This window comes from Homo sapiens, chromosome 11, assembly GCF_000001405.40.
Source record: "Homo sapiens chromosome 11, GRCh38.p14 Primary Assembly".
Lineage (NCBI taxonomy): Eukaryota > Metazoa > Chordata > Mammalia > Primates > Hominidae > Homo > Homo sapiens.
In genome coordinates, this window is record NC_000011.10 from 22,922,308 (window position 1) to 22,938,927 (window position 16,620).

At 35.9% G+C, this 16,620-nt stretch overlaps 2 long non-coding RNA genes across 7 annotated transcripts in view, besides 1 other annotated feature; both read left to right on the top strand.

The window, feature by feature from the left end:
* LINC02718 (long intergenic non-protein coding RNA 2718) overlaps positions 1-16,620 on the top strand; it is a 376,384-nt gene that overhangs the window by 92,894 nt on the left and 266,870 nt on the right. The gene's annotated exons all lie outside the window — the stretch shown is intronic.
* The window catches only part of LOC124902646 (uncharacterized), a 187,361-nt gene that overhangs the window by 1,471 nt on the left and 169,270 nt on the right, over positions 1-16,620 (top strand). The window lies entirely within an intron of this gene.
* Positions 345-856: an enhancer, noted in NCBI's record as "NANOG hESC enhancer chr11:22944198-22944709 (GRCh37/hg19 assembly coordinates)". NCBI's record gives its function as "activates a minimal SCP1, AML or CMV promoter by ChIP-STARR-seq in primed H9 embryonic stem cells {active_cell/tissue: H9 hESC(primed)}" and the evidence as "EXISTENCE:reporter gene assay evidence [ECO:0000049][PMID:30033119]".

Here is a 16,620-nt window from a genome sequence, read left to right on the forward strand (position 1 = left end):
ATTTTTTCATAGAAATGGGATCTCCCTTTGTTGCCCAGGCTGCCCTCAAGCCCCTGGGCTCAAGGGATCCTCCTTTTGCAGCCTCTCAAAGTGCTAGTATTATATGCATGAGCCACTGTGCTTAGCTTGGTATTTTTGTTTTAGTATACAATTTACCCAGTTGTATTCAGGTCATACATTTTAACCTGCTTTTTGTGAGTTTTGGTTTCAGTGTCAGTTATGTTTTCAAAGCATTTGTAGTGCTACTCCTATGTGTTCCATGTGTGCACCAGTAAATGGCTAGATGGGACTTTGGCACTTATCTATTCTTTAGTTTAGATCTTAATGTCTTTGATATGCTATTTAGTGTCAGATCTATACATGCACAGCTTACTACTTTATGAGGTTGCTTTCCTGAGCTCTTTCCTCTCTATGATCTCTCCAGCCCTTTCTGGTTCCCTTAGGTTTCTCTTATCTGTCCTCTGGCCAGAAAGCCAGGTTTTATTTATCTTCCTTTAGCTTCACACTTCCCATGAGTATGCCCTCATTCAAGACCAAGCAACAGGAAGACAGAGAACAAAAGGAAATAGGAGCTTGTCTCACCCTCTTGGGACCACTGCTCCTCTATTCCGAAGAGTTTATCTTTTCTCAGAGATTTAGTCCTGTGAGCCCCATTGTTTCAGGATTGCCTGAGGACTGATACAGGAGACAACAGAAAAACAAACAAATACACAAGGGATTCCCTATCCTCCACCCCTCAGCATTGCATTATGAAACCCATTTGCAGCTACTAGAGCCAGAATCAGAAGGATCCTTGTGGAGCTCTCTCTATCCACATCACTATGCAGTTCCAAGTTTAAGGTTACATTGAATCCAGGCTGGGATTCCAAGCCTGGGGGGATTGGGTGGTATACCAAATAGAAACACACACACCGCCACCCACCCCCCCAACACTCAAGTAAACTCACCTATGATATGGCAGTACTTCAAATACTCATCTTCTTCCTGAGTCTGCCAACTATTGTTTGCTTTTCACTGTTGTCAAATGGCTGCATAATGCATTCTGTGCACATTTTATAGTTGCAATAAGTAGGAAAGATAGAGTGGGATGCATTTACTCCATCTTACTTGAAACAGGAGCATATGTTATCTCAGTAATTTTGATGTAAGCAAACTTTCTGAAAAGGAGTTTTAGAATAGGCTTGTTAACTGAATACATACCTCCCAGATAAACTGTAATCTCCTGCCAGAGAGTAAAGCCCTTGGTGCTTTATTGTTGTCCTTTATTTTTATTGTGGTGACTTCAGAATACCTAGACCTGTACTACCATTTTTTTACAGAGATTTTTGAGATGTAACAAATGAACTTAAAAATCTCCTTTATTTACACTACTACCTCATTAACAGCTTGTTCATCTTTATCTCAAAATCAATGGCAAACAAATTTCATCTCAAGTTCTTCCAAGGTCATCTAGTTTTGGGTACCTAGAATGTGGGTCTGGGAAGAATACAGAGGATCCATAATGTTTATCAGGAAGGTGTGCCTGGATTGAATAGTGTGACACATCTTCCATGTTTGATTAGTGTGACGCATCTTCCATGCAAAAAGGAGAGACATGTACATTCTGTGTACCTGACTACTTAGAGCTACATGTTTTCAGAGTAGTAAAAGTAAGCTGGTAAGCAATAATTAATGAGTTACTGGTACTTTGTAATCCCACTGAAGATAAAGTTTTGCTTGGTTAACACAGAAACCATGTCATAACACTGATTAGCAACAGTTTCTTTGTTTTACAAAAGTCTTGATAACTGACTCCATCCTTCTTAAAGCTTTAACCCAAATTTAAGTCTCACCAGCTTTTGTTCAAATGAAGCCACATTAACATTAGTGTCTAAATTATTACAGTTCTTATTCTAATGATTAACTTTAGGTAGTATTTTCCAATGAGAATTTTATAACCTCCTGACTGTATTTAGAAAATCTGTGAGAACATTTGCCTAAATGATTGAAAGTGCCACAGGCATTATGTAGTTAGGGTTTAGGAATTCTAGAAGGCCAGCAGTGTGAGAGACAGACACAAACAAAAGAGAATATTATTTTGGCAGAATTCTAATACAAAGTTATAATATACAGATATTCTTAGATTAGGGCAAGAGGTGTTTATGTGTCAGAACTGTTGTAAATAATCCTGTCCAGGTCCCAGGGAAATACTTTTCTGTGTATGCTCTTGGAATAAAAGATGATGGCACATGTACAGTGAAGATACATGGCTTTTGCCACTGCTAATGTTAATAACACATTGTTTTAGAGGGCAAAGATGATTTGAGAGGCAGAAATGCTTGCTTAAGAGAAAAGACAGATTAATTAAACTGTCAAATTAGTTCTCTAAGACAGTCTGAATGCAAATGATTCTTACATACATAATTATGTCTTCACAATAATGCTGTGTTCATTACTTTTTTGCTTGTCTTTGTGTTCCAAAGTAATTATAATTACTCACAATCTAGCACACTATTTACATCCATTGTACATGGAAACTATGGGACATTTTATAACATTAAAGAATTCAGATTGCTCTTAAATTTGTATATATGTAGGTATACAAACAATGCTTATGCAGTAGTGCATGTATTATTTACACTGGCAACAAGAAAATGAATAGAACTGTGAATGGTTTTATTTTTAAACAATCTTTTGTAAGACATAGTTTAAATTAAAAAAATTCACCTTTACTCAGATAATTTTTGTGTAAAATTTAGATTCTAGTAATTATAAATGGTATAGTTTTCTAATTTTGATAGTTAAAACATTTTAGAAAAAATAAATTTTTATTCCATTTAGGCTTCTGTCTTTGTGATTTTCTTCTAAATTACTGGCTTTTCAAGTAACTTATAAAAACATTATTATTATTATTGTATGTAATGTACTACTAATTTATATTTGTGGTGGGTCCTCCCAAATAAACAGGGATTCTAAGCAAGAACAACGTGCTAGTTGTGATCATGCAACTTCTCCTGTTTCCCCATCTCCCACCTCCAACTAGATTGACACCCGAAAGCCTCTCTAACAAAGAACTTCTGAATAGACCCTGAACTATTCTGAGTTCCTGTAGTTGCTTCGCAAAGTGACAAATTGCCAGTAAAATTCTCATTTGAAATAGCCGATAAGAAAGGAAAACATTTACATTTAAGATTTCTTTGTGAGCTTTTGTTTTGTGAAAAGTTTAGAAATGGGTTTATGTATTCTTTGGGGGTTTGGGACGTTTAAGGTAAGAGAATTGAGGAAAGTCCACTATAATAAACATTTATTGAGTTCAGACACCCCATTGGTCATGGGAACACACAGAGGAATCAGATCAATTTCTTGCTTTTGAAGGTCATATAGTCTAAGATCATGTATCTTAAATTTTTTCTTCCTATTTTTTTTTCTGTAGAGAAAAGTAAATATGCACACACAAGAGTTCTGGGAGCTGGTGGTTTAGGGAGGCTTAGGGAAACAGTATGGTTGGAGAAAGAGGCAAGAAGATTTTTTTTTTCCTTAGATTGTATGTTATAAAAAATAAATAAGAGTTTTCCAGTTATCTTTCGTCTATGATATCTCTTAAAGAGCAGCATTGATTATTTTCATTTTCTCTGGCTGGGGGTGGTGGAGAAAGGACATTATAAGAAGATCCCACATCCTGCTTAGGCATTCCTCAAGCCCACCATTTTCTGCAAATGTGATCTGACTTGCCTCATCAATGGCACCATAGGCCTTGAAGTCTAGAATGCTGACTGAATAGATCATGCAGATGTTTTAATCTACTCTAACACACACCTTGTTTTCCTAGAAGGTTAATTGCTCTGAAATCTTCCAGAAAAATATTATACTTCAGGTATGTTCCATAGTTATTCTGTTGACTCATGCATAGTGTATTTTTTGCACTAGCTTGAGAAACTCAGCCATTGGATACCTGGTAATATGAAGGCTATTCAATAATATAAATAAATTTGAATTTACCTTTTCTTTCTTTATTAAACATATTGAAAAAGATACTTTTATTAAAGTCATTTTGATGTAAAAGTACCCCAGACTATAATTTTTCTTTTATTAAAAATTGTGGGCCAGATGCAATGACTCATACCTGTAATCCCAGCACTTTGCAAGATTGAGAAGAGATGATTGCTCAAGCCCAGGTGGTTGAGACCAGCTTGGGCAACATATGGAGACCCCTGTCTCTACAAAAATAAATAAATAAATAAATAAATAAATAAATAAATAAATAAATAAATAAGCAAGCTGGGTATGGTGGTGCACACCTGTTGTCCCAGCTACTTGGGAGGCTGAGGTGGGAGGATAATTAAGCCCAGGAGTTCAAGGTTATAGTGAGCTATGATAATGTCACTGAACTGCAGCCTGAGTGACAGAGAGGGACTATATCTCTCAATAATAATAATGATAATAATTTGATGTAAAGGTAGCACAGAAAGTAATTTTTCTTCAGTGATTTTTATAATTCATATTACACAAAATTTTGATAAAAATTAACAGTACATTTTCACTGCAGAAAAATATAAATGACCTTACCTTATAGAATTTTATCCATTATGACAAAAATTTAACCATATTAGTTCATATTCTATCTAAACTAGTGATCTCAACTGTCTGCAACCCACATTTATTTTTAAAAACTAACTTCTAAGGTGCTTTGGAAAAAAATGGAAATGCTGCAAACCCACATGGACATCCACAAACATATCTATTGGCTCATGGATATTTCAAAGGATGGAGGCAAAATGTATGCCAAAAATAATTTTATATAAAAACAACTCATTAATTTTTAAATAAGAGAAGCTTTCCAATCCTATCAATGAATCCGAACTTTTTCCACTTAAAGCATACTTACATTGATTTCTTTTTATTGTTGTCATCCCTTCTTGGAAGCTCATGGCTAAGTTTTGCACTTTATATTTTCTCAAAGAGAATAAATTAATATTGATTTTCTTCACATCTTGTCAGCTCAAGTTTTATACACCTTATTTTGTTATGTCTATTATTTAGGTCTATTGTAATTGTGCTTTTATTTTGAGCATCAAGCTCATTTGGAATTGGGCCAGATAAAAATCATGCTATTGTTAATTAATTCAACTGTACATATTATGTTACATTTTATACTTATGAAATACGAGCCAGGTACATACAGAAAATCTGGAAGGACGGTAGGCAGCACTCATTTTAAAATTCTCCTTACCAAATCTGTCTACTCTGGCATTACAGGTTTAGCAGCAGAATTTAGAAGAATTCTATATGATCCAAGTAAATACAACATTTTTTTCAACTCAGGCTTTACTAATGATTGGCTCAACTCACAAGGTAGAATGAAGACACTATGCTGGTTACAACAGAGTTAACTTAGAAATATTCATACATACAAAACTATTACACAAAATAGGTTAATTACTTTAATTTTCAATCACTCTTCTTTCCTGAGAAACTGATGAAATCCATTCACAAAACTGGTTAAGGAAATGATTTCTCTATCAGTTTTCTAGATGTTCTTATCATCTTCTCCATGTCCCTTGTTATTTTAATCCTATGGCCTTCTGTGTACTTGCTTAAGATTCCCTTTAGGAAGAGAAACAATCTTTATCAGTTGTATTGATAATGAGGCTTAAGTTCCTTCCCATGTGCAAATAGCTGTTTACTATTGGAGAATGACTTCATTTTCTGTTTACATGGCCCTGAGATTTCCTGTCTCTCTGAAGTGCTGTGTGTTTTACAGTCAGCTAGCTAGGTACTCGGTCTTAGAATTATACATTTCATAAACCCATAAAGTATGTTTTTATCTCACAATAAGATTTATGATGAACTAGATAAGCATGGACAAAAAATAACATCTTTCGTATATGGCTGCTGAGCAGTAAGCTAGGCTCTTCTGCTAGCTAAGTAACTACCCCCTCCCAGCAGCTTTTTGATTAAAAGTTCCGTCTCATCAAAATTACATTTTTTTACAGGTCAAAATGTTGCTTATAAATAATCAAAAATGCTGCTACACATCTTATTTTCCCTGGCTGGAATGCTATTCTGCTACATATGCACATGTGCATGCCTGTGAGTGCACATGAGCGCGCACACACACACACACACAGTTGCACACACACTGTCACACACACATACTGTTGCTCACACAAACTTATTTCTCTAACTTTTACTTGATCTTTCTGAATTCAGCTGAGGTGTTCTTTATACCAAAAGTCTTTCAAGATCTTCCTGGTCTGGTTCAGATGCCCAATTTGTGGTTCTAAGGCATTCTTTGCACACATCTATTCGAACTCATCCTGTGGCTGTTGGTTTATTCGCCTTTCTCCCCTACTAGATCATCATACTGTCTGTGAAGAAAGAGAATGTGTATTTGCTATTGTTCTCTCAGTGCCCAGTATAGTGCCCTCTACTGAGCAGGGACCAAAAGCATTTGTTGAATGAATACATAACTGAATTAAATATGGGGATACTGATAACTGGAGAAAAGAACAAAGAGCTTACTTTTTTAAATGAAGAATACTATTTATCTCATAGAGCTCTTACCATATTTAAATTATTTAAAATGTTTGAGTAGTACCTGGCACATAGTAAGCTTTATGTAAGTGTTAGCTATTATTATTAGTAGTAAATTTAGTGATTTGGGATATTAAGAAATATTATAGCACCCAAATTTTGATACGAGAATCAGGGAATTGGAGTTGAGGATGCCAGTAGGGGTCAGGGATTGAAATGAAAAAAAAAAAGTGTTAACAAAACCTTCTATTTCTGTGATCTTTGTGACAAGCTCAATCCAAGGTGGTTTTTTAATTCACCAGTAGTTCATTAATATATTATTATTAAAATTCATATTTTTCAAAAAGTTTTAAATGAATAAAAATAGATGTATATATGTTGGGGATACATGTGATAATTTAATGCATTCATATAAATTGCAAATGTCCAATCAATATAGTTGGAATATCTATCAGCATTAATGTTTGTCTTTTATTTATGTTAGAAACACTGGATTATTCCCTTCCAACTATTTTGAAATATAAAATAGATTATTATAAACCATATTCAACCTACTGATGTATCAAACAGTAGGTCTTATTTCTTCTATTGAACTGTGTATTTGTACCAATTAATCAACCACTCTTTATCCACCACTTCCCTTGCTGGCCCCTGGTAACTACCAATCTGGTCTGCATCTTTATGAGAATCACTTTTTTAGGTCCCACATATGAGTGAGAACATGCTATATTTATCTTTTTGTGCCTGGCTTTCCTCGCTTAACATAATGTCCACCAGTTCTATCCATGTTGCTGCAAATAACATGATTTTGTTCATTTCATCATTGAAAAATATATTATTGTATATATATATACCACATTTTCTTTATGCCTTCATTCATATTGGGTACTTAGGTTAATTCCATATTTTGGCTGTTGTGAATAGTGCTGCAATAAACGTGGGGATGCAGATATTTATTTGATGTATTGATTTATTTTATATATATACTCTATATGTATTTATATATACTATATATATAGTATGTGCATATATATAGTATATGTGTGTATATATATACATCTATATCTATATCTATCTAGTAGGAGAATTGCTGGATTATAGAGTAGTTCTATTTTTAGTTTTTTGAGGAACCTCCATATAGTTTCCCACAGCAGCTGTACTAATTTACATTCCCAAAATGTACTAGGATTCCACTTTCTCTAAATTCTCACCAGCATTCATTATTCCATCTTTTGGATAAAAGCCATTTTAAATGGGGTGAGATTATATCTCACTGTGGTTTTTATTTGCATTTCTCTGATGATTAGTAATGTTGAGCATTTTTTCATATAACTGTTGTCCATTTTTATGTCCTCTTTTGAGAAATGTCTATCCAGATCGTTTGCCTATTTTTTAATCAAATTATTTAAATTTTTTTGCTACTGAGTTGTTTGTGCTTCTTTTATATTTTGGTTGTCAGATGAATAGTTTGCAAATATTTCTTCATTCTGTGGGTTATCTCTTCAGTTTGTTGATTATTTCCTTTGCTGTGCAGAAGCCTTTTCATTTCATATATTTGCATTTGTCCATTTTTGTTTTTGTTGCCCATGCAAAACATCTCTGCCCAGAGCAATGTCCTGTAACATGTCCCCAGTATCCTTATATTAGTTTCATAGTTTCAGGTCTTACATTTAAATCTTTAAGTCATTTTGATTTTGATATTTGTATTTGGTAAGAAATAAGGATCTGTCTTCATTCTTCTGCATATGGTCATCCAGTTTTTCCAGCACCATTTACTACACAGACTGTCTGACTGTCTTTCCCCATTGCAGGTTCTTGGCACCTTTGTCAAAAAATGAGTTAACTGTTAATGTGTGGATTTTTATCTGGGTTCTATATTCTGTTCCATTGGTTTATGTATCAGTTTTTATGCTAAGACCATAATGATTTGGTTACTATAGATTTGTAGTATATTTAGAAGTCAGGTAGTATGATGCCTCCAGCTTTATTCTTTTTGCTCAGGATTGCTTTGGCTGTTTGGGGTCCTTGGTGATTCTGCATAAATTTTAGGATTTTTAAAAAATACCTGTGAAGAATTTCATTGATGTTTTGATATGGATTATGTTGAATATGTAAATTGTTTTGGGCAGTATAGCAGTTCTCCCCATGCTCTTCTCGTGATAGTGAGTTCTCATGAGATCTGACAGTTTTAAAGTGTATGGTGGTTTCCTACTCACTCTTGCTCTCTCTTTCTCTCTCGCCGCCTTGTGAGGTAGGTGCTTGCTTCTCCTTTGCCTTCTGCCATGATTGTAAGTTTCCTAAGGCCTTCCCAGCCATATGGAACTTTGAGTCAATTCAACCTCTTTTCTTTATAAATTACCCAGTCTCAGGTAGTTCTTTATAGCAATATGAAAACAGACTAATACAGGACGTGATCCATTGAGTCACACTTGAGAGGTTGTCACTACAGTATATCTGCACAGTTCATGTCAAGTGTGGGGGTCAGTGAGCAAGTCAAGTACATTATATCTAAATGTTTCAGAGGAAGGTGGTCACCAGGAGTTGATTGTATAAGGCAGATATCCGATCAGCCACATTGAGGACCTGGGGTGAGGCAGGGCACTTGAAACTGTGTCAAGGATGACTAAACTCTGCTTCTGGTATGAGAAAGTGAAACCTCTATTCAAAATAGATGTGAAGGCAACATAAAATTATTGAAATTCACTGCACATATGTACCATCATCAGTGTGAATTAACTTGATGAATTAACTTGATCCCAAAGAGAAGTCAATTGGCCACAGTTAAGGGGGAAAATTCAAAATGTCTTGAATTGTGTTGTTGGACACATTTATTTCCAAAAATAAATTGTTTAGCTACTACATATCTTTTTAAAGCACATATGAATTTATTATTATTTCATTTCCTCCTTAAGAGTCTGACTCAGAAAATTCCTCTATATGCTCAAAAGTTTGCTTATATGATACTTTAACAAAGGAAAATGAAAGAAAAACAAAATACATGACATTTTTCAACTACTCTTTTCTCCCCAATACTTCCCAAATGCATTTTAACTATTGCCATTCAAAAGTGCTTTTGTCATCCTAACCTGTCAAATCTCACACTGGAACACAGACTTTTCCAATGTTTCCTCAATTAGCATATATCCACTAACACTTTGAAGTTGTAATCAGCAATACTAACTAGTGCCCAACTTGGTTGATTTGGTAAGAAAATACAGTTAGTCAAACTCTTTAGAATTATATCTAAAAAAGCAACAGCTTTTTAGAATTTTTCATTTTTTGAATAGTAGGTCATAATACAATAGAAATAAGGATTTTGGAGAAAATGTGCTAAACTTGTTTTCATTTCCATGTGTTTCTATGGGTGTCAGAATGTAATTTTCTGTTTATACCACATATCATTTTCTTTGGCCTTGGTCATTGTTTACTAAAAGATATATAAAATCAGCTGGGCGCAGTAGCTCACGCCTGTAATCCCAGCACTTTGGGAGGCCGAGGCAGGAGGATCACGAGGCCAGGAGTTCAACACCAGCCTGACCAACATGTTGAAACCCCATCTCAACTAAAAATACAAAAATTAGCTGGGCGTGGTTGTGCATGCCTGTGATCCGTGCTACTCAGGAGGCTGAGGCAGGAGAATCGCTTGAACCTGGGAGGCGGAGGTTGCAGTGATCCGAGATCGTGCCACTGCACTCCAGCCTGGGGTGGCAGAACAAGACTACATCTCAAAAAAAAATGTGTAAAATCTAACTTATACAAAGATGCAGATTCTGGGGATTGTATAGATAAGATATCAAAATGACTGATTGCACTCTCCTATATACATATTTTGTGTTGAGGAAGAGGCAACTTTGTTGATTATGTTCTCACCCTTCCTCCCTCTCTTTCCCTGCCTTCCTTCCTTCCTTCCTATTCCCCCTTCCTTCCTTTCTTCCCTCCTTCCTACCTTCTTTCCTTTCTTCCTTCCTTTCTTTTTTTTCCCTCATTATCAACTGTTGTTTATGTTCATGATCAGCTTTTTTTTTTTTAAAGAGAGAGTTGTTTCTAAAGGATGCATCATAAAATAAATATTATGTGACCCACTGCTAAAAGATGAGTGATGAGTCCTTATTGCAAAGACCAAGACTTAGGAAGACAGGTGTCGTTCAACATCAGTGCAACCGTCTCTAACGAGACAGGTGAAGTGGACCATGTAATAGCAGAGTGTCCAGAAAAAAGACTACAAGGAGAGAAAAAGCTGAAATCTGATTTAGGTTTCTTGTTTGAGCTCTCCCTATATAATTTGGAGCATTTTTAAAGAACTAGATATGACCACACTTCCATTTTACCTTCATAATATAAAAATCTTCCAATAGAAAAGTTATTAAAAATGGTCAGATAGAAAACTTTTTTAATGGAATACAAAAAGTTTCTGAACTTTTTCAATAATAGTTTTTTCCTTTCACAAAGTGTATGGCTTTAATCTACTACTGGGTTCGCTATAAGCATCATTTTTTACTCATGTGTGACTAGGCTTTTCAAAGCCCATTTTTCAAAATGGATGTATAATAACATAATAAAAAAGATTTTTTTCCTGGAAATTCTATTTTTAAGAAGCGAGGTTGGCCTTGTGTAATTGTCTTTTCTTCTTTTTTCTTTTTTTTTTTTTTTTTTTTGAGACGGAGTCTCGCTCTGTCGCCCAGGCTGGACTGCGGACTGCAGTGGCGCAATCTTGGCTCACAGCAAGCTCCGCTTCCCGGGTTCACGCCATTCTCCTGCCTCAGCCTCCCGAGTAGCTGGGACTACAGGCGCCCGCCACCGCGCCCGGCTAATTTTTTGTATTTTTAGTAGAGACGGGGTTTCACCTTGTTAGCCAGGATGGTCTCGATCTCCTGACCTCATGATCCACCCGCCTCGGCCTCCCAAAGTGCTGGGATTACAGGCGTGAGCCACCGCGCCCGGCCTCTTCTTTTTTCTTTATGGCTAGTCTTAGTGTGGTTGACTGTTATTTTTCATATATTCTTGCTAAACTCTTAGCTAATATAACATTGATTTCTTCTGAAGTTATATGTTATTGTAAATTGGAAGCATTTTTCACATCAAATGATATACTGTTTCTTTACTGTTGCTAAAATTTTTAAAGAAGATGGATCGCTAACATGGTGGAATATCTATCAAAAGTTCTGGTGCCATCCACAAAAACAGGATCACAGAAATTTGCAAGAAGGGTATTTTAGTTGTCAGACTGCACAAATAATACTTTGTGAAGCAGTGTAGAAACTTCAACTTACTCTATTTTCTCAGCCTAAATAAATGGTTAGAAAAGGGGTGGTAGCTTCTGCTATGGCTTGAATGTATGTGTTCCCCAATATTCATATATTGGAACTTAAGACCCAATATGATAGTATTCAAAGGTGAGGCCTTTAGGAGGTCTTTAAGTCATGAAGATGGAACCCTCATGAATGATATTAGCAACCTTGTAAGGAAGCTGAAGGGAATTAGCTAGACCCCATTTGCCCTTCTGCCTTCTGCCATGTGAGGATGTAACAAGGTGTCATCCTGAAAGAAGAGACCAAGTCCTCTCCAGACACTGGGCCTGCAGATGCTTGGTTTTTGACTTCTTAGCCTCCGTAACTGTGAGAAATAAATTTTTGTTCTTTATAAATTACTCAGTCTCAGGTATTTTGTTATAGCAGCACAAATGGACTAAGATAGCAACCAAAGGGCAATAAATCTAGAAATCCCTAAGGTGGAATCCAGGGCCAATTTTCAGAGCCAGGTTGAGGGTGAGATGCCTAGGGCACAACATTTGAGGAAGTGTCTTATCAAACTCCAGACCTTAGTTGCCCCTCAGGCTTTACCCTAGTCCCAATCCTGCTATGGCTGTTCTCGGATCACCATTTTCAAAATTTCTCAGCACCTCATTATTGACTCTTCTGTACGTCTAAATAATAAAGTTTCAATAAAAGATAGGATACATTTCAGGGAAGAAAATTTTCATCTTTCCATGGAAATGCGAGAATCCTGTACTCAATCATTTTTATCTTCACATTTTATATCCACATACAAAGATGCAAAATAGCATAAGGTTTAGTAATGAGTGTTTTCTAGAATAGATTAATCCAATCCTAACAATTGTAGGGCCTAGCCAAAGTTCAAATTGAGGTCACATGCCATATATCTAAATGGGGAAGTGTTGCAAGCTAAGAAACTAATAAAATACAGGCGAGGCATGATGGCTCAAGCCTGTGATCCCAGCACTTTGGGAGGCCAAGGCAGGTGGATCACTTGAGGCCAGGAGTTTGAGACCGGCCTGGCCAATGTGGTGAAACTCCATCTCTACTAAAAATAGCCCCTGCAAAAAAATTAGCTGGGCATGGTGGTGCACACCTGTAACCCCAACTACTTGAGAGGCTGAGACACGAGAATCACCAGAACCCAGAAAGTGGCAGTTGCAGTGAACTGAGATCACGCCATTGCACTCCAGCCTGAGCAATAGATTAAGACTCTCTGTTAAAAAAAAAAAAAAGAGGCTGCGCGCAGTGGTTCACACCTATAATCCCAGCACTTTGGGAGGCTAAAGTGGGTGGATCACGAGGTCAGGAGTTCAAGACCAGCCTGGCCAATATGGTAAAACCCTGTCTCTACTAAAAATAAAAGTTAGCCAGGTGTGGTGGCACGTGCCTGTAGTCCCAAGTGCTTGGAAGGCTGAGGCAGGAGATCACTTGAACCCAGGAGGCGGAGGTTGCAGTGAGCCAAGATTGTGCCACTGCACTCCAGCTTGGGTGACAGAGCAAGACTCCGTCTCAAAAAAAAAAAAAATAAAATAAGAAGAAGAAGAAGGAAAGAAACTAATAAATTACATCTTATCTTTTCACTTGATAAATATTCTTCACAATACCTGGATGTTCATATTTACCTTTAGAATGCTCAAACTCTTTGGAGTTCTGCACTGAAACATGGAAGCATGAAGAGATATGGCTGCTGGCCTCTGGACTATGACCCACCTCCATTCCTCCCCGACTCTGGATGTGTCTTGAACCATCAGAGTTTTTTTTATACATATGTACAGAAGCCCTTAGCATACATGTCCAAGCTTTGTCATACCTGGGGGTCATATCTGATGGTGCAGTCAGTTCTTTGGAGACATCAGTAAACCTCAAAGTAGGGGCAGGCATGCTTCAGCTGGCAGGGGCAATTCTGGGTGCTAGTTGCTAGCAGTATGGTTCCAAAAGGAAGGCATCAGGTCCAAGTGCATAGAAAGAAGCTTGGTGAGAGGAGGACTAGAGAGAGACCCTCTAAAAACAGGGCCAGGGCAGGGGACCCTTTTCCTTGAGTCTGATGGTGATGCTGCAGGTAGACCTTAGTTTAAATCTTACTCATCAATTAAGAGCTGTGTTTTCTCAGACAATTAACTTTACCACTCGAAGGGTTGGTCTGGCGCCAGAATGTCCCAGTTTGAATTCCTGTTCCACCAAGTAGCAGTAAGACCTTGTGCAAAGTAGTTCATCTTTCTGCCCCTCAGTTTCCTCATCTGAAAATTGTAGATAATCATGGTCCTTACCTCCGAGGGTTATTATGATGGTTAAGCAAGTTCATACTTCTAAAATGTTTAGCATGCTTTCCAGCACTAATAAGCACAATATGTTTGTTTAGAAAAGTAAAATAAATAGTCTTAATTTGTAAAAATGAGGAAAACTGTGTACCTCATAGAGTTGTTGCAACCATTAAATAAGGTAATAATTACAAACTACTTATGTAGTATTGTTACCTGATAATAGGAAGTGTACCAAAGTATTACTTATAAAAAAGTAATGAGAATATAACTCCAGAAATATATTTTTAAAATTGAAAATTATTTTTAAATTTTCACTGTTATGTATTATATGTGTATATATTGCCTTTTCTTTGAGGATCAACAGTACTTCTAGCAAATTTGTCTGGTTTTGCTTAAAAGTTCAAAAATATGAGTATTCTCCTTTTCAGGATTTATGTGGTTTTCCATGAATAATTCAAATAATTGTAAAGCCTTATTTTATTTTTGTTATTGGGAACTAATCCATTTACTTAGTCCATGGACACTTATTGTATGTCCAGTATGCTGCAAAAGTGCCAGACATTTTGTTTCATGGTGAAATACAGTGGGCTTGTAAGTTATCATTAGCCAAATACATGAGCTCAAGCTTTTTCTCTCCAAAGCAGTCTTTTCTTCTCTCCATTTATTTTTCTTAAAAATGAAGAAGAAGAATTTAACATTGACTCAATGTCCAGAAATGACAGATAATAGCAGATGTAATTTCTGATTTTCGATATTAGAAAATGTCAATCTGTCTTCCTAAAGTTTCCAGCATTGTCCTTATGCTTAACTTGGGTGCAGGCATACAATAATTTGTAAATATTCAGTCTTAAGAATACTGTTCGTATATTGTTGAAAATTTTAGATTAGAATATCATCCAAAATTTATTAGATGAAGTTAAAAATATTGTCCAATCTTTTAAAAGCTATTTTTTGGGGAAAAGCCTAACTATGGAAATGAATTATACGCTGTAGTATTTTTATTCACGCCTTCAGCCTTGTAAGTTATAAGTAAGGTTATTTTGAATTATTCATTGGAGATATATCTGTATCATCTGTATCTATATCCATCTTTAAGCACTTAAGTTTTCTAACTCTTCTGAATTTAATAGTCTTATTGGCAACTATTTTCTGAATACAATCACCTCTTTGTCCTCAAAACAGAAAATCTCTATATATTTCAAACTGAACTCCAGGTTCTATTATGTGTCATCAGTGAAAGGGCACATGTGCAGCACACCGAGATATAAAGGCCTATAAAATTGAGACAGATGCATTTGAGACAAAGCATATACTTCTCACACCAGGGGTCAACAGGAAACTGAATCCTAGAGTATATGAAAAGTTAATCTTTCAAAGATTCATAAAACATTTGAACATATTTTCTCAGTGATAACTTTTTGACCAGCTTGAGGCTTAAACCAGTTCCCAAATTCCAGATTTGTGTTGCATAGCATTTCTGCCTAAAATGCAATCAATAAAGTCTGGCATTACCCTAGTAAAAAAAATTGTTACTCTCTATTTTAATGCTGTGTTCCCCAGAAAATGTTTCCCATAAAATGAGGATTAAATATAACAATTTTTGAGGTACACGTAATCCTATGCCCATCACTGCTTAAGATTCCTGTCTTATAGTCTAATTTTATGATGAAGACCATGTTTTAGTTAAACTAATGTTAGTTTCTGTAACTGGCAAATCCAAAAATGATAATAGCCCAAACATAATTGATGCTTATTTCATGTTCAAATAAAGTCTAAAAGAGGTTTTTCTGATAGGTAGGTAGCTATTCTCCAATTTGTGATTTGGGGAATTAGCATCCTTCTAACACATGGGTCTGTAATTGAAAAGTGGTCTCCATGATCACAGTGCTAGTCTGTGTCAATCTAACAAAAGGGAAAAGAATATCAAGTTTTCTGGATTGGGAGTGTGTTATAGACCAGGCCTAGAAATGGCTTCCATCTCTTCCTTCAAATCCTATGGCTAGAACTCTGTCACATTACCACAACTAATTGCAAGGGAAAGTAAGAAATGTAATATAGCTGGATGCCCAGAAGGAGAGAAAATGTGTTTCATTTTGTATTAGATGAAACTGACACCTCCAGAAAGCTATAGAATGTTCTAAAAATAACAGTTAAACTTTTAAATTAAAATAATGTGTTATAATTTGGAAACTATTTCATATAAGCTAATAGTTGTTTTAATATAACACATATTCAACATTAATTATGTGATTAACACATAATTAATCATGGAAGTCATGTCCATGTATTAATATGATGCTATAATAATTTGATTAAGTGAAAGAAAACATAGGAAAGCACAGATTTAGGTCAGAAAAATTCCTTGATAACTATTAGTATAATTAAAGGGAAGTAGACCTGTTATGCTGCATATCTTACAGTTTCATTTTTTTTTTAAGAATAGGAATGAGGCACTGTAACATCAAAAGGGCCAGCATGTGACCATGTATAATTAGGGTATAGTCAGTAGATGCCGAGGGAGGGGCATTCAGTAGGAATAGAGGGGAAGAACCACTATGGTGGTTAGAAAA